The 21,618-nt window shown below is 36.2% G+C and overlaps 1 protein-coding gene and 1 pseudogene across 10 annotated transcripts in view, besides 1 other annotated feature; one reads left to right on the forward strand and one right to left on the reverse strand.

The window, feature by feature from the left end:
* The window catches only part of PXDNL (peroxidasin like), a 489,869-nt gene that overhangs the window by 98,871 nt on the left and 369,380 nt on the right, over nt 1-21,618 (reverse strand). For 9 of the 10 annotated variants that reach the window (XR_007060701.1, XM_047421364.1, XM_047421365.1 and 6 more), the window contains 2 exons: nt 8,199-8,311; nt 5,128-5,284 (listed from right to left, as the gene is read on the reverse strand). Coding sequence is in view for 9 of the 10 variants with exons in the window: in XM_047421364.1 (XP_047277320.1) it covers nt 5,128-5,284; nt 8,199-8,311 (270 nt within the window). In the remaining variant the exon portion in view is untranslated. Of the gene's footprint in view, nt 1-5,127; nt 5,285-8,198; nt 8,312-21,618 lie in introns of those variants that run through there. The other variant, XM_005251168.4, reaches the window with a different exon arrangement.
* Nucleotides 11,405-11,627: a silencer, noted in NCBI's record as "fragment chr8:52342412-52342634 (GRCh37/hg19 assembly coordinates)". NCBI's record gives its function as "represses an EF-1alpha promoter that drives an FKBP-Casp9 reporter gene in an ReSE screen in K562 erythroleukemia cells {active_cell/tissue: K562}" and the evidence as "EXISTENCE:reporter gene assay evidence [ECO:0000049][PMID:32094911]".
* Nucleotides 17,147-18,072, forward strand: BRIX1P1 (BRIX1 pseudogene 1; annotated as a pseudogene).

Consider the following 21,618-nt stretch of genomic DNA (forward strand, 5'->3'; position numbering starts at 1 on the left):
ATTGTCCACTTATAACTCTGCAACAACTTCAGTGGCTTAGAAATTGATGTTTGTCTACCCCATGACAAATATTGGGATTAAAATGTCAAATAATTCAAATAGTGAATTGTTTATACAGAGTTTTGGAAAATAACTAGAACTCACAAGAACTGAACAGGTTAATTAATGTATAGCATTTGGAACACATGGTAAATGCTCAATAAATGTTAACTGTTTATTTTTACTACTGATATTCCTATGAGTTTAGTATAGGTTATTTCATTAACTTCAAAGAAAAGGTCCCACTAACCTAAAGTCAGCTAACGTAGCCTTAAATCTTCAATCAGTTTAGTTTGATAATAATTTATTGGGTTAAGGATACAGTTGAAGTAGCAAATATTATGGGTGGGAGGATAATTTGGAAAGTTATTTCCAAACCTACGTTCAAAATGATGAAAGGCTGAGCCATAGAACAGGAGTCACATAAAGAAGAGAAGTGGAAAAGAAGCAATTTTAGGGAAGGAAAGACGAGGGAGGCTTTGAGTTGGAGTAAGGGAGCTGGGGAGGAAGATAAATCGTGAGGGCTCAGCTTCCTGCTTCTGCTATGAAGGCATGCTAGGAGGAGACAAGGTCCTCGGGGAAAGACCAGGGGTTCAGATTCGAATATGTTCAAAATCAGTTTTTAACATGAGGAATTGCAAGGACTGTGGGTCCACCAAAATGAGGTGCCACACAGACAATTAGACACTTACCTAGGAATTTCAGAGGAGATAACATTGCCTAGCATTATTTTCATACAATTTGAACCAGTATATGCATGTTACATGGTCCAAGTTTTTCATTTAATAAATTCTGGGTCACCTTTGCATTTTTCACTTTGTCCATATATTAGTTCAATGTCTCAATGGTAAGAATTTTATCACAGACATGCTATAAAGTGTTTCCTCATTACTGTTGTACTATTTTCATAACTATTGTTTGAATTCTATCATGGAAACATAGAAATTCTATGCCAAGAAATACTCTTGAGAGAGTTCAGGTCCATCTTTTTAAAAAATAAGAAAATCAATTCCAGTTATGGGTAAGGAAGTTATCCAAAGTGGCCGAGATCAGTGAAGTCTGATGGCTTAACCCAGGGTTTTCTTCTCACTATCTCACACTTCTAATGTTTCATATAAATGTGTTTTGTGCCTTCAGTCAAACCGAATCATTTTCACGAGGACGAAATGAGTCTATACTTCACAGCACTTACCAGCACTTTGTAGTTAATATAATATAGGGAGTGTTACAGTAAGTTATTATTAAATATTTTTTAAAAACAATAAATATATAAACATTTTATCTAAATAAAATGTGTAGCATTTGGATACAAAATATTATCTAGAAAAAAAGAGAGAAGTGGGCAAATAGAATTAATATTTGCTGATATAAAATACATTGACAACATCCTAAACAAAAGGATAGATTCCCAGGAAATACTGTATCAGTCTTACAGGTTATTTATGTAAACTGTTTACAAATCTATTAGCTCTAAAGGGAAAATGAGCTTTCTGAAAAAATTACAACTGTGGAAATCTTTTTGTTCTTTTGCTATCATAGATGCCCTGCTATAAACATCAGTCAGTAAAAGGTAAATTTTATATAATGCGTAGATGGTTGTGTACTTTTCATTATTGTGCATTACTTTCTATGGCTGTAATTCCCAAGGTAAATTAGAAACTCAAAAGTCATGATCACTTACTTGTGTCATTTATTCCACAAATGGAATTACAACATTCTACAATAACTAAGTGGGGGCATCAAGATTGGAAAATCCTCCTGTAAGGTATGAACTTTTCCTTTTAGTTATAATGACCTGGTGAATGAAAGGGTCTCAGTCATAAAACATTCAGCAAATGTTACTTTAGTTTGCCATATTTCCCCTTATTCTGCTAATTTGGGTTTTATAAACACATACACACTCCTTGTCTTGGATCTTAAATTTACCCAAAACTTTTAAATTTGTATTCTTTCATCTTTCTTTTACTTTATTAAAAAATATTTCTAACATTATGAAATTTATTTGGTATAAATTACTTTTCCCTCATATTGACATATAAATGTCCCAGAGACAAAAAAGTTTTTCTTTGTGGAATAACATTTATTTTACTGTATTATTATCTCCTTATAGCCTGTTTCAACACCATAGAACAGAATATCATTGAATGCTATCACTATTCTAAAATCTGGTAAATAAAGTGATTAATACATTTTACTGAATGTTTTACTTTTGTTTTGTTTTTGAGATGAAGTCTCACTCTGTCATCCAGGCTGGAGTGCAGTGGTGTGATCTTGACACTGCAACATCCACCTCCCAGGTTCAAGTGATTCTCTTGCCTCGGCCTCCCAAGTAGCTGGGACTACAGGTAAGCGCCACCATGTCTAGTTAATTTTTTGTATTTTTAGTAGAGACAGGGTTTCACTATGTTGGCCAGGCTGGTCTCGAACTCCTGACATTGTGATCTGCCTGCCTCAGCTTCCCAAAGTGCTGGGATTACAGGCATGAGCCACTGCACCCAGCCTGAATGTTTTACTTTTAATATGTATGTATAATTACAATTAGTTAAATTTCTGTTAAAGAAGATGAAATTCTTGTGTTGGAGATTCTGAAATGTTTTTTCACTGAGATTACAGTGCTTCTGTGTATGTGGAAGAGCAAGACAGAGGGGCAATACAGAGAGAGAGGATGTTTGTTTGTATGTGTGTTTGTTTAATGGTAAAGATTTTTAGCATTTCTAAAACATGGTGATATTAATATAAATTCTGTAATAATTTTTTCCCAAACTATCTCAAGGGCATTTTTCCACAGGTCTCATAAATAGTTGAATAGCAAAATGTGAACTCCATAAATTTATAGGAAGCACAACTACCACAGATTTTAAATCAGGAAAATCATGAACTCATAGAGAATAGCAGAGTGAGACTAAGATTTTGTAACGTTAAGAAACTTTAGGTCAGGCGAAGTGGCTCTGGCTTGTAATCCCAGCACTTTGGGAGGCTAAGGTGGGCAGATCACCTGAGGTCAGGAGTTCAAGACAGGCCTGGCCTACATGGTGAAACCACATCTCTACTAAAAATACAAAAATTAGCCTGGCGTGTGATAGGCACCTGTAACCCCAGCAACTCGGGAGGCTGGGGCAGGAGAATTGCTTGAACCCGAGAGTCGGAAGTTGCAGTGAGCCGAGATTGTGCCCCTGCACTCCAGCCTGGGCAACAGAGTGAGACTCCGTCTCAAAAAAAATAAAAAGCAATTTTAAACAACCTCTGACATTATTAGGACAAATATTTGCCGGTTACTAAACTACATTGTTAAAATTTTAAGAATATTATTCTACAAAAGACATTTTTACAATATGGATACATTTTATTTAAAATACCTAGACCAGGGGTTCCCAACCCCAGCGCCTTCAGAATAAATCCGTGCTCCTCACTGAGGTTCGAAGATCCTATGACAGAGGTCCCCAACCCCCAATACTGGTCACAGCCTGTTAGTAACACAGCAGGAGGCGAGCAGCAGGCAAGCGAGCATTACTGCCTGAGCTCCACCTCCTGTCAGATCAGCAGGGGCACTAGATTCTAATAGGAGCACAAACCCTATTGTGAACTGCACATGTGAGGGATCTAGGTTGTGCACTCCTTATGAGAATCTAATGCCTGATGATCTGTCACTGTCTCCCATCACCCCCAGATGGGACCATCTAGTTGCAGAAAAACAAGGTCAGGGCTCCCACTGATTCTACATTATGGTGAGTTGTATAATTATTTCATTATATGTTACAATGTAATAATAATAGATATAAAGTGCACAATAAATGTAATGCACTTGAATCATCCCAAAGCCATCTCCCCACCCCGGTCAGTGGAAAAATTGTCTTCAACAAAACCAGTTCCTGGTGCCAAAAAGGTTGGGGACCACTGACCTAGGCAAAATAAATGCTCAGAAGTTTGATATTTCAGAATATGTAAGTGGAAGAATGTGAAAGTATTCATATGATAGGAAAATGGCAAATCTTTATAAATATGAGTTGATAAGCTAAATCTATTTTTAGTGAGGCCTGTGTTATGAAATATTATTGTACGTAATGAAACAGTTACCCAATCTCTTCTATAAACCCATAAGGCGTGGAAAAACTAAAAGGTAAAAAAGAATCTGCGAAACCATATTTATGAAATTTGTTCATTTTTAAGGAAACTGAAAGCTGAGCAAAGCCCAAAATAGCACTCCAGATGCTTGTAGCTAAACTCATTTATTTCAACTGTGGATTGTCAATACAGCAAAAACTCCTGAACCCATTTGCAAAAAAAGCAACACTAATGTGAACTCCCACATGCAGACATGCTGTGCTTTCCTTCAATGCCTCTCCGTGTAGAGAACACACCAGGCAATCTTAACAGCCTGTGTCCACTTGTAAATAACCTCAGCTGAGTTTCAGTACAGTCTACTCAAGTCTGCCTACAAATGGACTCTCCCATGTCCCTTGTGAACTGAATAATCAAAAAAAGAAAAAATATATTTTTTATAAGACTACAGTAAACAGTATTTTAAACAGTCATTATATATAATCAACCTGCAGAGGGTTCCAGCTATATAACCAGATTGGTGATAGAATGTAAAAAGCTATGTCAATTATGTTGGCCAATTATAAATGCCTGGAAACACTGAGATATTTGTTCTAGTGGTTGTAAAGTTTACTTGGGAGTTTGATGGATTGATTTCTAATTTTAAACTGGGATTAAATATACTAGGCTAGAGTATGTAGTACATGTTGAATTCCATATTATGCTTCCACCTCCGGCTCCACATTTTGGCTATAAATACATCTTGCATTCTATTATTTTTGGTTTGTAAGAAAACATGATATATATTTGCAAATCTTTGCTATTTATGTTCTTTTTTTAATTTGTTATTTTTCACTTTATATCCTTTAAGATTGTTTATATTTAAATTTTTTTATTTTAAAAAGAATAAAACAGCTTTGACTATAAACACACTTGACCAGAAAGAAAGTATAAGAGAGCATGATTAGTGAGATCAGTCAAATAGGATTGGGGTAGAAGCTGTTCAAAGACAGTTATTTGGATGTTGTAAATGGAGCTATAGACACCTACCCGTGACTGTAAGAAACATGTTGGTCACAGCAAGGCCAAAAGAATTCCGAGCCACACATTCATATCTTCCCTGGTCAGGGAACCCTGCGTCGTAGATAGTCAGCGTGCCTTCATCATCCACATGGAATTTACCACTCTCAGTAATCTGCACACCTTCCTAGGGAGCAAAAAAGAGTTGCCACTGAATGAGTGTGGTTCCTTAAAAAATCATTTATTTACTTTTTAAAATGTGGGTTCATTTATTCAACAGATATCTATTGCACGTTTGCTGTGTGTCAAGTACTGGAGGAGATACATGAATCTAGTGGAGAGAAGGAAGAGAGGAAAAGAGGTTTCTAGGAAGTGTGGTTTTTCTCTCTCTCTAATTATTAAATATGATAACCAAAAGTTCAATCATGTAATTATTTAACATAATAATAATTTTAAAATTATCACTCCAATGAATGGATAGACACAATTGATTCATATATTGCTTACTGCTAAAGATAATTCTGACAACTACATTTGGTCGGGCACAGTGGCTCATGCCTATAATCCCAGCACTTTGGAAGGCTGAGGCAGGAGGATCACTTGAGCTCAGGAGTTCAAGACCAGCCTGGGTGACATAGCAAGACCCCATCCCTACAAAAAAAAATAGAACAAAAGTCAGCCAGGCATGGTAGTGTGTGCCTGTAGTTCTAGCTACTCAGGAGGCTGAAGCAAAAGGGTTGCTTGAGTCCAGAAGTGTGAATCTGTAATGAACTATGATCATGCCACTGTACTGTAGCCTGGGCAACATAGCAAGATCCCATATCTAAAATAAAAAAAATAAAAATTAACGAGGAGAAGTATGCTCACAAATCCATCATCTAAAAACATCAAAATATTTTTATTAATGTATTTCTAATTTCCCTTCTATTTCTACCTTGTATGTACTCATATGTTTTGTATAGCTACACTGATATGTGTATTATATATATATATATACACAATTAAAAATATAAGAAGATAAAAATAACTACATTTTATATGAGCTATTATTAAAGTGCATTTACTTTTAATTAATATAGACTTACATACATTTTCATTATTATGGATTTAATTTTAAAAAGTAAAAGGAAATGGCCTTATGAAATTGCAGTTAAAATGGTGTGCCTCTGCCCTGCCTCTCCACAAAAGACTCACAGGAAACAGAGGATGGGAGATATTTTTTCAAAAGAACTCACACTCCAGCTATGGCCAATAGGCCAGAGTGTAACCATGAACGTTTAGAGTGAAAATAACATTTCACAGGTCTTCGGATTCTCACAGCTGACTTTACCCCATGCTTGAAAACAAGTCCAGGTGATTGGTAGCTGGTAACTCAGAGTAGGGAGTGAGAAGTTGCAGGGCCCCACCAGGTGAGAGGGCGGATGAGAGAGACCAGACATAAGGCATGGATGAGGCAACCAGGTGCACAGGTCACAGGGCCTAGTAGGTCCTTCCTTCAGAACCACACCTTCTCTGCCTCAGGTTGGGCCACTTCTAAATTTTCTTTCAAAGTTGCTCCCTTCTCCTCACCTATTGCCAGAACTCCAGACCAAATGTATTGCTCTGAAATATTCGCTTGGAGTCTCAGCAATCAGATGGCTTTCCAGCACATTCCTTATCTGCTTATGGTAGGGCGTTTCTATCGCTGGTAGCAAAGTATGCTAACTCATACCTTTTCCAAACTTGTGAGCTGAAGAGGACTGTTATGAAGAGTAAATGTGATAGTGTGTGTAAAATGTCTGGCATAGAGTCAGCACTCAATCAGTTTGTGATTAAAAGCTACCTTTTACAAAGTAGACGCTGAGATAGTCTGCTGATGTGATTACATAATGATGCATGTCGTACAGTGTCGAATAAGGCTTTAGAGACTGCCCAAAATGTATATTTTTCACACTTTCTATTTTTAGCATAAAAATATTTTAATATATAATATCAAATTAAAAGGGGGTTATAAAAATATTCAGACTAGGCTGGGCGTGGTGGCTCACACTTGTAATCCCAGCACGTTGGGAGGCCGAGGCAGGAGGATCATGAGGTCAGGGGATCGAGACCACAGTGAAACCCCGTCTCTACTAAAAATACAAAAACTTAGTCGGGCGTGGTGGCGGGCGCCTGTAGTCCCAGCTACTCGGAGAGGCTGAGGCAGGACAATGGCGTGAACCCAGGAGGCAGAACTTGTAGTGAGCCGAGATCGCGCCACTGCACTCCAGCCTGGGCGACAAAGCGAGACTCCGTCTCAAAAAAAAAAAACAAAAAAATTCAGACTACTGAGAGGACATGAACCGAAAGACACCTAAACTTACTCTTCATAGAGACTGGCATGTGAGACTTGCTACAGCACAAAAGAAGGCCTTGTTAATATATGGTAGCAATAAAAATAAGCCAAGTGGTTTTGGAAAACAGTTTTGTAACCTTTCACAGATTTTATATTTTGTCAAAATGTTTCAAAAACTGACATTCAAGTGTGCAAATTTGTAGATTTTTAAGAACACTGAAATCTGAGACCGACCATTTTGTTTTGATGAAAAACTTAAAACAGAAGAAGCAGTTATGTTGGAAGAATATGGCTTCCAAAAGATGTAAGATATATAAATAAGGAGCTATTGTTTTTTTAAAGCCATTCAGGTTTTGAAACTTCAGAACTACTTTTTCTTGTTTAACACCAAGCTTTTCATTCCTTTCCTGTTTCAGCCAATGACCTACTTTTAATCCACTTCTGAGTTATTAACTTAAAATGGTTTCTTATTAGCCACTAAACTCTTAATTTATATGTGTCAAAACCAATTTTCCTTAGAGGAATTCAGTTATGCTTATGAAGTGTTCATCACCAGGCAAATTAGAAAGGATAAACCTTATCAAAACACTGAACCAAAATCAGATAGAGTCACTTAAAAAAAAAAAAGAAGAAACAGGAAGTAAACCTGCTGCAATGTAAAAGGTATTATTTGCTAGCAAAAGTCGCAACAGTAAAAAATCAATATGAGAATCATTACCTCCATTTCAGTGGGTCGATACATCTGTCAGTGTTTTTAATATTACTGTACTTTTAGTTGAGATCTTACCTTATTCCAAGTAATTATGGGCTGTGGTTCTCCTTGAGCATGACATGAAATGTTTATATTCTTTCCAACCTCGACACTTGTATCCTGAGGAAGTTGAGTAAACACTGCAAGAGCTGTGGAAACAAACCAAAATAACATCATGTCAAATAATATCATTTTTGTCAACATATGCCAGCTGAGTCAAAGGTATGAACCTGAATGCCATATTGGTTAAGCACACTAGTTTTTTAAAAATCAATTACTTGGACGTCTAGGGGAATAACAAGCATCACACCCAGGCTGGCGGCAAGTACAGCAGAGGCCGGAGCAGGTATTAGGCAAAAGGAATGCACTGAAACTTTAACTACATTTGTATTTTTAACATGCATCTCTTCAGCTGAGCTGTGGGTACAGGACTTTCATTATTCTTTCTCAGTACTTTTTGTTAAGCGTGAAATAAAACTATACGGTAACATCAAAATTTATTTGTAGCTAAGATAAAAAGATCCAGCTCTTCAGTGAGCATCTCATTTCCTCAAAAAACACAAACTACCATAACACACCTAATATGAAATAGATAATTGAGATAGCTCTGTAACTATTAAAAAAATGAATTCCTAATCCTTAAAACTCCCCAAATAAGAAATCCCCAGGAAGGAATTAAAATTATTTTACTGGAGAATTTGACCCAGTGTTTAAAAAATTTAACAGGATTTTTATAGACTCTCCTCTGTAAAATAACAGAGGAGGGAATACTTCCCAACTCCTTTTGGAAGGCTCACCCTAATATCAAAACCAGAAGATAACTACAAACAAAGAAAAAAAAAGACTACAGTCAAATACTTCTTATGAACATATATACAAAAATCATTAACAAAATATCAGCAAATAGAATTTATCAATATGAAAAGGTTTATACACCATGAGCAAGTAAGGTTTATTCCCAGGATGCAATACTGGTTCAATATTTGAAAATAAATAAATGTAATCCATCATATTAATGGCTAAAGAAGAAAAGCCACATAATAGTATCAATACATAAAAAGTGTTTGCCTATATTCAACGCTCATTATGAGTTACAGACCTCTCAGAAAGAAAATAAAAGTAGAGGGGAACTTCCACAACTTGGAAAAGAACATATACAAAAGCCCTAGAGTAATTAAACACAGTGAATACTTTTCACATAGAAAATAAGGCAGGGATATCTGTTCTCTCTAGTCTTATTCAACACAGTGCTGCAAGTTCTAGCCTGTGCACCATGGCAGGAAAAGGACATAGAAAGCAAACAGAATGGAAAAGAAGAGATAAAACTGTCCCTATTTGCAGATGAAATTATTGTCTATGTAGAAAATCCCAATATATATCAAAAATACTCCAAAGTGAGTTCACCAAGGTCTCTGGATACAAGACAAATGTATTAATATATAGATAGTATTTATTTTATATGCAATCAACGAACATATGGACATAGATCTTTTTAAAAAATACAATTTACAATTGCTCAAAAGCATGAAATAATTAGGTATAAATTTAACAAAACATCTACAGTACTTATAAACTAAAAACTACAAAATACTGAAGTACAAAATCAAAGATTTAAAAAAATGAATAAGCATATATGCATGGATTGAAAGTCTAAAGACAGTAAAGATGTCATTTCTTTACAAATTGATATACAGGTTTAATACAATTCTCATTAAATCCCAGCAAGATTTTTTCATAAATATAGATCAGATTATTCTAAAATTTATGCAGAAATGCAAAGGAACTAGAATAGCTAAATGTTTTTGACAAAAAAGAATAAAGTGAGAGCAACTGATCTACTTGATTTTAAGACGGGTCATATAGCTGCAGTAATCAAGACTGTGTGGTATTGAGGAATACGGGAGACACAGACACAAATATCAATGGGACACAGCAGACAGCCCAGTAATAGACCCATACAATATGCTCCATTGATTTTAATGAAAGAGCAGAAGCAGTTCACTGGAAGCCTTTCAACCAACGGTAAAATAGCAAATGGATAACCATAGGCAGAAAAATAAACCTTTACCTAAGTCTCATACTTTATAAAAAATTAACTCGAAATGGACAACAAACTTAAATATAAAATGTAAAACTATTATTCAAAAAAATAGGAGAAAATCTTTGATATTTAAGCCAAAAGTTCTTTGACTTTGCATAAAAAATTGATCTATTAAAGAAAAAAAATGATAATCAGGATTTCACCAAAATAAAAAATTCTGTGCTGTGAACACCATGCTGAGAGTATCAAAGGGCAAGTTATAGACGGAGAAAATATTTGCAAACCACATATGCAGAAAGGAATAGTGTCTAAAATATATAAAGAACCCAAAAATTCAACAGTAAAATACCAAACACTTCAGAGAATGGGCAAAAGGCATGACATTGTACTGTAGAGGATATACAGATGGCAAGTCAGCATATGAAAAGGTGCTAAAGATCAGAAGTCATTAGGGACATGCAAATTAAAACCACAATGTGATATTACTACACACCTATGAAAATGGTGAAAATACAAAATAATGACATTACAAATTGCAGGCAAGGATGCAGGTAAACTGAATTACTCATACATTGTTGGTGGGAATGTAAGATGGTACAGACACTCTGGAAAAGAGTTTGGAAACTTCTTTAAAAATTTAAACATGTGGCCGGGTGCAGTGGCTCATGCCTATAATCCCAGCACTTTGTGAGGCCGAGGTTGACGGATCACCTGAGGTCAAGAGTTTGAAACTAGCCTGGCCAGCATGGTGAAACCCTGTCTCTACTAAAAATACAATAAATTAGCCAGGCGTGGAGGTGTGAGCCTTTAATTCCAACTACTTGGGAGGCTGAGGCAGGAGAATTGCTTGAACTGGGGAGGTGGAGGTTGCGGTGAGCCACTGCACTCCAGCCTGGGCGACAGAGTGAGACTCCATCTCAAAACAAAATAAAGCAAAAAAAGTCCAAAAGTGCACAAGCTAAGTCCTGTGGTAGTAAAATATGTAGCATTTTAGGAAAGCTACCAAACTGTCTTCCTCGTGTTCTTTTTTTCCTTTCTTTTTTTTTTTTTTTTTTTATGAGACATGGTCTCACTCTGTCACCCAGGCTGGATCTTCGACTAAGGAAATAAGAGCTTTCATCATATCTTTCTTGTATGTTTCTGTATTTCTGAAAAAAATTATAGTAAACATGAAACATTTATTGCTGAGAAAGATAAAAAGGTTCAGTTCCTCTGTTGGAATCTTATTTTTCTTATGTATTTAAATCACATGGTATATTCTAAGTTAACACATGCATTTCAGAATGCTGAGACCATGGCTGATTGATGCCTGACAATGCATAATGGACATCTCATGAGAACCAGGGTCAGCCTACGTGCCAGTGATGCTCCTGATCCAATCAAGAAGTCTCCAGTGTCTCACTCTTCACATCATAGCCTCCTTTGTCTGATGTCCTTTATCGCCAGCTGCTTTCACCTCCTGACACAACAGTTGCTCATTACCACAAGCTGTGCCATCACTTATAATATTTTGGAAATATCTAACACCACACTCTAAAGCAAAGCTCTTCTCACTATGCCCTTGCATCTCCTCATTTGGACTTTATCTAGACTTGGAAGGCGATCTGCTTCTTTCCTGTTGACCAACAATCTTCTAGTCTCATTCCCTTTCCTTTTCAGCCAAGCTCCTGTGAATAAACAGAAGCTTAAAAGATCCAATCCTTCAGGATGAATCCCAAGCGGCTAACTGGGCTTAAATTTAAAATAGAGCCAAACAGCCATTTCCTGACTAGAGGTGACACACATGCCCTGAGTTCCCTGAAAACACACACCTTTTTAACTTCAAGACCTTCAGAGCTTACCTGAACCAACCAATCAGAACTCAGCAAGTTTGAATCCTTCATTTGCATAAATGGACCTGATTGGGAACATGGGTGGAAACTTTTGCTACAGAACTTGAACTCTCTCTTTGTTTTCTGGAACGCACCTTTGTTTTACACTAGGGGCTGTGTCTCTCCAGTTTGCAAACTGTTCGCTGGAATAAAGTCTCTGCTTCAAATTCCTTTGCAAAGAACTTTTGTTCAAGATCCCAAGTTTTGTCACCTTTACCACTTTTCTTCCAAAATGCTAAACTCCTTTACCCCATTATTATTTCATTCAACAACTCTCCACCATTTTCTTGCATTTCTTCTCACAAAATATCTGCAGTAAAAATAGAGTGATTCTATGTCCTGGATTGTCAGGAACAAACTGCCCTTGTCAATTCAGATCCTATTTCACATCAACAGCAACGAATTTCAAGCATTTACTTCTCTTTCAAGTCACCTACTTCATCTCTTGGAATACCCTTCTCCTACACAATATTGACTTCTCCACAAAGAAAACAGAAGCCATCAGACTATAAATTCCTCAACTCCTATACTCTTCTCCCACAGAGGTATCATTCAATCCATACAACCATTCTTACCTCCCCTCCTATCCTCATCTAAACTGAAAAAAATAACTCTTCTCTTAAAGGTCAATTGGATCATTAGAGTTGCAAATCTCACCCCATCTTGCCACCTGAGTGATCTTAAATTATTTAATGCTCATGCTCTTCCATCTTTTCAGCCTCTCCTTCCTTTAGAAAATACCTAGGAAAAACAGGCCCTTCCACTTATTTCTGCATGACCCAGCCCCATCTCCACTGCTGTCTCTTTACTGTTTCCCTCTTCACTTGTTTCCAAGAAACTTATTGGTTTCTTCGAAAACAAAAACATTCTCTGCTCATGGCACTTCTATACCCTTTATTCCACAGCCCACTTCATTAAGGCTTCGATTTCCTTGACTGTATGAAACTGCCTTTGTTCAGGCCCTTAAACAAAATTCCAGTCTTTATTGAATGCACCTTTTTGTGGCTTTTGACACATTTGATTCTCTCCTTCTGGGAATAACTTTTTCTTAGCTGCTAAGACTCTTGTCTCCTCAGGGTTTTTGTGTAACCCAGAGGCTGGGAATTCCTCTATAATATCGCTCATAGCTTTTTCTTCTCTCTACATTCCAAGGGGGTCCAATTCTTGGTCCTCTCACCTTCTCACTCAATGCACCACCTTAGTTCTAAATTAGTTCATTAATAACCATGGACTCTACATCTTAGGTCCACGCTCAGAAACCAACCATTTCATGGACATCTACATTAATTCTCAGCAAGCATACCGATTTAACTTTTTCCCAAGCTGTATTGACTGTGTTTTCCCATTTGTTAATTGAATTCTTTTTATTAAATTTGGGAATTCTCTATATATTACAGATATCAAAACACACTTGCCAGTTATATATATTGCAAATATCTTCTATTTCTGACTTGTGAATAGAATATCCAAATTTTAATGTAGATAAGATTATCATCTTTTCTGATAGGCTAATAGTTTTCTGTAATTTGTTTTGCAAATCTTTCTATACTATCATAATGATTTTACTTCTTATTGAAAAAGAGTTAAATGTTTTAAATATTAAAACTTTTTTATCTGGAATTGATTTTGGTGTGTAGGGTGATGTAAAGATGTAATTTCACCTTCTCCCTGTGGATAATGAGTTGCCCAGGACTATTACTGAGAAGCCATAGTTTCTGCAGCCATGAGCAATGACACTGCTTATACATACGGGTTTTTTGTCTCTTTGGTAAGTTGTTAATCCTTGAGCCAACCATACAATATGTTATCCCTGAGCAGTATACAGTAATACCATCTTGCTATTTGGATGATCTAGGTTATTTCTGGATTTTTGTTATTCCATATGCCTTCCAGAATCATCCTTTCAGTTTCCATCAAGAACTCTTCTAGGGTTTTGATTGGAATTGCATTGATCTATAAATCAATGTTGGAAGAATTAGCATCTTTACAATAGTAAGTCTGTCTTCTTCAATTTCTTTCAATGACATTTTATTTTTCTTCTACACAATTCTTGCACATCTTTTGTTAGATTTATTTTTAACTTATACTTTCTTGTCATTTTAAGGAGCTTTGCTTTTAAAATAAAATTAGGCATTTTGTTGCTGGCATGTAGAACGAAAAACAGTTTTTACTTGTTAATGTCATATCCAATGATCTTGCTGAACTCTTAGGTCTGATAGTTTATTTGTAGATGTTTTTGGATTGTGTTTGAGGATAATCCTATTATATACAAATAAAATTGTACGTATTTCTTCTAAAGTCATAACATTTGTTTTCTATGTCTTGCCTTTCCGTAAAGGCTAGGACCTTCCATTACAACATTGAGTACATGCAATCTTCTTCCTAATTTTAAAAGGAATATTTCGGCCAGGCGCAGTGGCTCATGCCTGTAATCCCAGCACTTTGGGAGGCCAAGGCGGGTGGGGAACACTTGAGCCCAGGACTTTGAGACCAGCCTGGCCAACATGGTAAAAACCTGTCTCTATTAAAATACAAAAATTAGCTGGATGTGGCAGGGCGCCCCTGTAGTCCCAGCTACTGAGGAAGCTGAGCCAGGAGAATCACTTGAATCTGAGAGGCAGAGATTGCGGTGAGCGGAGGTCGCACCACAGCACTCCAGCCTGGGTGACAGAGTAAGACTCTATCTCAAATAATAATAATAATAATAATAATAATAATAATAATAATAGAAATATTTCTAACATTTCATCTTTAAAAATGTAATTTTCTATTGTTTTATTTCTAAAAAAAGGGTTTTTTTGTAGAAAATATTTTATTTCTATGTTGCTAAGATCTTCTCTTAATAATTAGTTAATAAATTTGATCGAATGTTTTCCCTGCATCTGTTAAAATGATTTGTCCTCCATTAATCTAGCAATGTCAGTGGAGTCAGTGGGGCAATATTTTGTACAGAGATTAAGTTTTTTGTCCATAATTTCCTTTATTAGTTAATTTGTAATGTATTTCCTCTTATATTATCTGCAAAACTTTGTTTAAGACTGGGTTGACTTTTAGAACATTTACAGAATTCATCTGTAAATTTGCTGCCACTTCTCCTTTCTTAGCTTTTATTTAAACAATTAATTTGCTGGTTTCCTAATTCATCATTTTCACTTTTCCAATTTGAAACTTATAATCGTATTTTTATACTTTACTATTTACCCTTAGTATCTGTGGCATTTATACTTACGAGCCTGAAATTAACAGATTAACCAACCTATTAACCAACACCTCATCTCAGATATATAAGAATATTATAAAACTTTAACTTCAATAAACATTTTTCCAACATATATTCCATTGTAAGTCAGTATTTAATTGTATAATTTTATTCAATGTCACACCTTAATGATTACAATTATTATTATTGCATATAGAAAATATTTTAATATTATCTATATGTTCATCAGGTTCTTTTATTCACTATTGAATTTCTTTTTTTGAATCTCAGCTCTTTTAAGATTTTGTCCTTCTTCAAGAAGATAATCTTTAGCCCTCATTCTTGAACACTTTGATGGATATACAATACTATATTCTCAGTTTTATTTTCTGAAAATATCTTTACTTAGCTCCTATCCATGAAGGAGTTGATGCTTATATAATATTAGATTTACAGTTATTTTTGTCGAAACACTTTGAAGAATCGATTCCAGCGTCTTTTGGCTTCTGTTGCTACTGACATAAAGCCTGTTGTTAGTTTAAATGCTCTAAGTGATTTGCCTTTTTTCTCTGACTGTCACTTCACTCAGCTCTCTGCTCAAATGTCATGTCCTTCTAGAGGTATCCCCTGACCTCTCTTTTTAAATGACATGTCCTGGTACATTTTTCTGGCCCTATGCCTTGTTGCTTCTTCATCACACTTAACACTCTCTGGAATACACGATATTTACTTCATTTTTTCCCTTTAGATGAGGAGCATCTTTTCCAAGAGAACAGAGATTCTTCTGCTGTATTTACTGCTAAGTCACCAGTGAGTAAAATAGTGATACCACATGGTTTGTACTCAATATACATTAAATGTATTTTCTACCATGTAACAAATGGTTCCAGAATGTTTGCTAATAATCTTTTTGGAACTACTAGGAAATAAGAAGGTTAAAAATACTAGAATTAAGACACTATGAATTCTAGTATGCTCTACTGAAGATTAATGGCATTGATATTATTACCCCCAAATTATGATAATCATGAGCATTTATTAGATGAGGAAACTGAGTCACAGAATTATGACAGAATGTAACACAGATCAGTTTGCCATAGACACAATATATCTTGATTTTAGCATTCTATAGATTGCCTCTTTACAGAGATGAGGTAGTAAAAACAGGTAGAAAGGAGCTCTTAAGGATATATAATGATTGAACATCTATACCCAAGAAATAACAATTAATATATCAATGTCACCCAGATAAAGTGCTCTGTCCTTTCCACATTTCATCAAATACATGGACATAAACACACACAAGAGTCTTCATTGGCCGGATGCGATGGCTCAGGCCTGTAGTCACAGCACTTTGGGAGGCCGAGGCGGGCAGATCACAAGGTCAGGAGATCGGAGACCATCCTGGCTAACATGGTGAAACTCCTTCTCTACTAAAAACACAAAAAAAATTAGCCAGGCATGGTGGCACATGCTTGTAATCCCAGCTACTCAGGAGGCGGAGGCAGGAGAATCACTTGAACCCGGGAAGTGAAGGTTGCAGTGAGCCACGATCACGCCACTGCACTCCAGCCTGGGTGATAGAGCGAGACTCTGTCTCAAAAAACTAAAAAAAAAAAGTCCTCATCAGTGTTTTTTGTTTGCTTGTTTTTGTTTGTTTGTTTGTTTTTTAGATGCAACATATTTGGAAGAGAAAATAATTACACTGGACTCCAGTCAAGAATGGAAAGGTATCGTTGCAGCCTGGTAGAATGGCTGAAATAAACAAGTTAAAATTTTTAAAAAAAGTAATAAATTTGGGGAATTTTTCAGATTAAATAAAATTTTCTTTACAAATAGAAGATGTAGATAATGAGAACAAATAATTAATGTGGAGGCAAGATGGCGGCAACCAAGAGGAAACAGCATGGAGGCGTGGCAGTTCAGGCGAAGAACCCAGAAAGAAGCGAAAAAGAGGCGGAGCAGCCAGCTAAGCTGGGCACCACCGCAGAGGAGGTGGAAGAAGAAGATAGAGACTGGATCCCAGGCCCCGTTTGCAAGGGGGAGTGAAAAAACAAGGAATGGATTTTCATCTTTTCTTCCAGAGGAATAAATAAATTTCAGAACAAGACATTTTATGCAGGACTTGAGAATGTTGATGCCTCATTCTAAAGCAGATACTAAAATGGATCGTAAGCATAAATAATTTGAGATTAGTGAGTTCTGTGAAATGAAAAACTGTAATAAATGCATCTACTTTGAAGCTAAGAAAAAAACAGGATCTCTTTATGTAGCTTTCAAATTCACCTCATGGACCATCTGCTAAATTCCTTGTTCAAAATAGTCATAGCCTAGCTGAACTACAGATGACTGGAAACCTTTTGAAAGGTTCTTGCCCCTTTTGTCTTGACCCAGCTTTTGATGAATTACTACATTATGCTTTGTTAAAAGAACTCTTAATTCAGATCTTTAGTACACCGTGGTATCATCCCAAAAGCCAACCATTCGTGGGCCATGTGTTGACTTTCACCATTTTGGATAATAGGATATGGTTTCAGAAGTTTTATATCATAGAAGAAGGTGTTGCTCTTGTAGAAATAGGACCTTGTTTTGTCTTAAATCTCATAAACATTATTCAGGGAAGTTTTGGAGGACCAACTTTATATAAAAATTCTCACTACCAGGCACCAAAAATGCATTGCCATGTCATAAGATCCATCACACCTGCAAAATACAGAGAGAATCAGCAAGCGAAAGATGTGCAGAAACTGAGAAAGAAAGAGCCAAAGATCCTTCTTCCATGTGATCCCACTGTTCAGACCACAGTGGAATAAAATTGAAAATCAACTCCAAAAGGATCCCTCAAAACCATGCAAATACATGGAAATTAAACAATCTGCTCCTGAATGATCACTGGGTCAACAGTGAAATCAAGATGGAAATTTCAGATTGTTTGAGCTGAACAATAATACCCAACCTATTAAAACCTCTGGGATAAAGCAAACACAGCGCTAAGAGGGAAGTTCATAGCCTTAAATGCCTACACCATGAAGTCTGAAAGGGCACAAACAGACAATCTAAGGTCACACCTCAAGGAACTAGAGAAAGAAGAACAAACCAAATATAAACCCAGCAGAATAAAAGAAATAACAAAGACCAGAGCAGAACTACATGAAATTGAAGCAAACAAATTACAAAAGATAAATGAAAAAAAAGCTGGTTCTTTGAAAAGATAAATAAAATTCATAGGTCATTAGCAAGATTAACCAAGAAGAGAAAAGAACCAAATAAGCTCAATTAGAAATGAAACAGGAGATATTACAACCAATACCACAGAAATGCAAAAGATCATTCAAGGCTACTATGCAAACCTTCATGTGCACAAACTAGAAAACCTAGAGGAGATGGATATATTCCTGGAAATATACAACCTTCCTAGATTAAACCAGGAAGAAATAGAAACTCTGAACAGACCAACAGTAAGTAGTGAGATTAACACAGTAATAAAAAATTTGTCAACAAAAAAGTCTAGAATTCATAGCTGAATTCTATCAGACATTCAAAGAAGAATTGGTATCACTCTTATTGACACTATTCCACAAGACAGAGACGGGGGAATTTTCCCTAAATCATTCTATGAAGCCAGTATCATCCTAATACCAAAAACCAGGAAAGGACATAACAGAAAAAGAAAACTACAGACCAATATCCCTGATGAATATAGATGCAAAAATCCTTAACAAAATACTAGCTAACCAAATTCAACAGCATATCAAAATGATAATCCACCATGATCAAGTGGGTTTTATACCAGGGATGCACAGATGGTTTAACATATGCAAATCAATAAGTGTGATACACCACATAAACAGAATTAAAAACATAAATCACATGATCATATCAATAGATGCAGAAAAAGCATTTGACAAAATCCAGCATCTCTTTATGACTAAAACCCTCACCAAAATTTGCATAGAAGGGAAATATCCTAAGGTAATAAAAGCCATCTATGATAAACCCACAACCAACATAATACTGAATGGAGAAAAGTTGACGGCACTATCCCTCAGAACTACTTCTATTCAACATAGTACTGGAAGTCCTAGACAGAGCAGTTGGACAAGAGAAAGAAATAAGGGCCATCCAAATGAGTAAAGAGGAAATCAAACTCACTGTTTGCTGATGATATGATTGTATACCTAGAAAACCCTAAAGGCTCCTCAAAAAAGTTCCTAGAACTGATAAATGTATTCAGCAAAGTTTCAGAATACAAAATTAATGTACACAAATCAGTAGCACTGGTATATACAGGAGCAACCAAATTGAGAATCAAATCAGGAACTCAACTCCTTTTACAATAGCTGCAAAAAATAAAATAAAATAAACTACTTAGAAGTATACCTAATCAAGGAGGTGAAAGAGCTCTATAATGAAAACTTCAAAACACTGCTGAAAGAAATCATAGATGACACAAATGAATTGAAACACATCCTGTGCTCATGAATGGGGAGAATCAATATTGTGAAAATGACCATACTGACAAAAGCAGTCTAAAAATTCATGCAATTCCCATCAAAATACCACCATCATTCTTCACAGAACTAAAAAAAGCAATTCTAAAATTCATATGGAAGCAAAAAAAGCCCACATAACCAAAGCAAGACTAAGCAAAAAGAGCAAATCTAGAGGCATCTCATTACCTGACTTCAAACTATACTATAAGGTCATAGTCACCAATAAAGCATGGAACTGTTATAAAAATAGGCACATATTTGGGAGGCCAAAGCAGGCGGATCATGAGGTCAGGAGATCGAGACCATCCTGGCTAACATGGTGAAACCCTGTCTCCACTAAAAATACAAAAAATTAGCCAGGCATGGTGGCGGGTGCCTATAGTCCCAGCTACTCAGGAGGCTGAGGCAGGAGAATGGCGTGAACCTGGGAGATGGAGCTTGCAGTGAGCCGAGATTGTGCCACTGCACTCCAGCCTGGGCAACAGAGCAAGACTCCATCAAAAAAAAATGGCACATAAACCAATGGAACAGAATAGAGAACCCAGAAATTAAGCCAAATACTTATGGCCCACTGATCTTCAACAAGGCAAACAAAAACGTAAAGTGGGGAAAGGATACCCTATTCAACAAATGGTGCTGGGATAATTGGCAAGCCACATGGAGAAGAATGAAACTGGATCCTCATCTTTCACCTTATACAAAAATCAACACGAGATTGATCAAGGACTTAAATCTAAGACCTGAAAGCATAAAAACTGTAGAAGATGACATCGGGAAAAACCCTTCTAGACATTGGCTTGGGCAAGGACTTCATGACCAAGAATCCAAAAGCAAATGCAAAACAAACAAAGATAAATAAATGGTTGTTAATTAAAATAACAAGCTTCTGCATAGTAAAAGAAATAATCAGCAGAGTAAACAGACAACCCACAGAATAGAAGAAAATCTTTGCAATCTATGCATCCAGTGAGGACTAATATCCAGAATCTACAAGGAAATCAAACAAATCAGCAAGAAAAAAACAAACAATCCATCAAAAAGTGGTCTAAGGACATGAATAGACAATTCTCAAAAGAAGATATACAAAGGGCCAACAAACATATGAAAAAATGCTCAATATCACAAATGATCAGAGAGATGCAAATCAAAGCAAAAATGTGATACCACCTTACTCCTGCAAGAATGGCCATAATCAAAAAAATAAAAAAATAATAGATGTTGGCATGGATATAGTGGAAAGGGAACACTTTTACACTGCTGGTGGGAATGTAAACTAGTATAACCACTATGGAAAAGAGTGTGGAGATTCCTTAAAGAATTAACAGTACAGGTTGGGTGTGGTGGCTTACGCTTGTAATCCCAACACTTTGGGAGGCTGAGGTAGGTGGATCACTTGAGGCCAAGAGTTCAAGACCAGCCTGGCCAACAGGGCGAAAAACTGTCTCTACTAAAAATATAAATATTAGCAAGGCATGTTAACACACACCTGTAATCCCAGCTACTTGGGAGGCTGAGGCAGGAGAATTGCTTGAACCCTGGAGGCAGAGGTTGCAGTAAGCCAAGATCGCACCACTGCACTCCAGCCTAGGTGACAAAGTCAGACTCCATCTCAAAAAAAAAAAAAAAAAAAGAATTAAAACTAGAACTACCATTTGATCCAACAATTCCCCTACTGGATATTTACCCAGAGGAAAAGAAGTCATTGCACCAAAAAGATACTTGCACATGCAGGTTTATAACAGCACAATTTGCAATTGCAAAAATATGAAACCAGCCCAAATGCCCATCAATCAACAAGTGGGTGAAGAAATTGTGAGACAGATATACATATATATATATGTATATATACACA

This window comes from Homo sapiens, chromosome 8, assembly GCF_000001405.40.
Source record: "Homo sapiens chromosome 8, GRCh38.p14 Primary Assembly".
In the NCBI taxonomy this organism is placed as follows: Eukaryota; Metazoa; Chordata; class Mammalia; order Primates; family Hominidae; genus Homo; species Homo sapiens.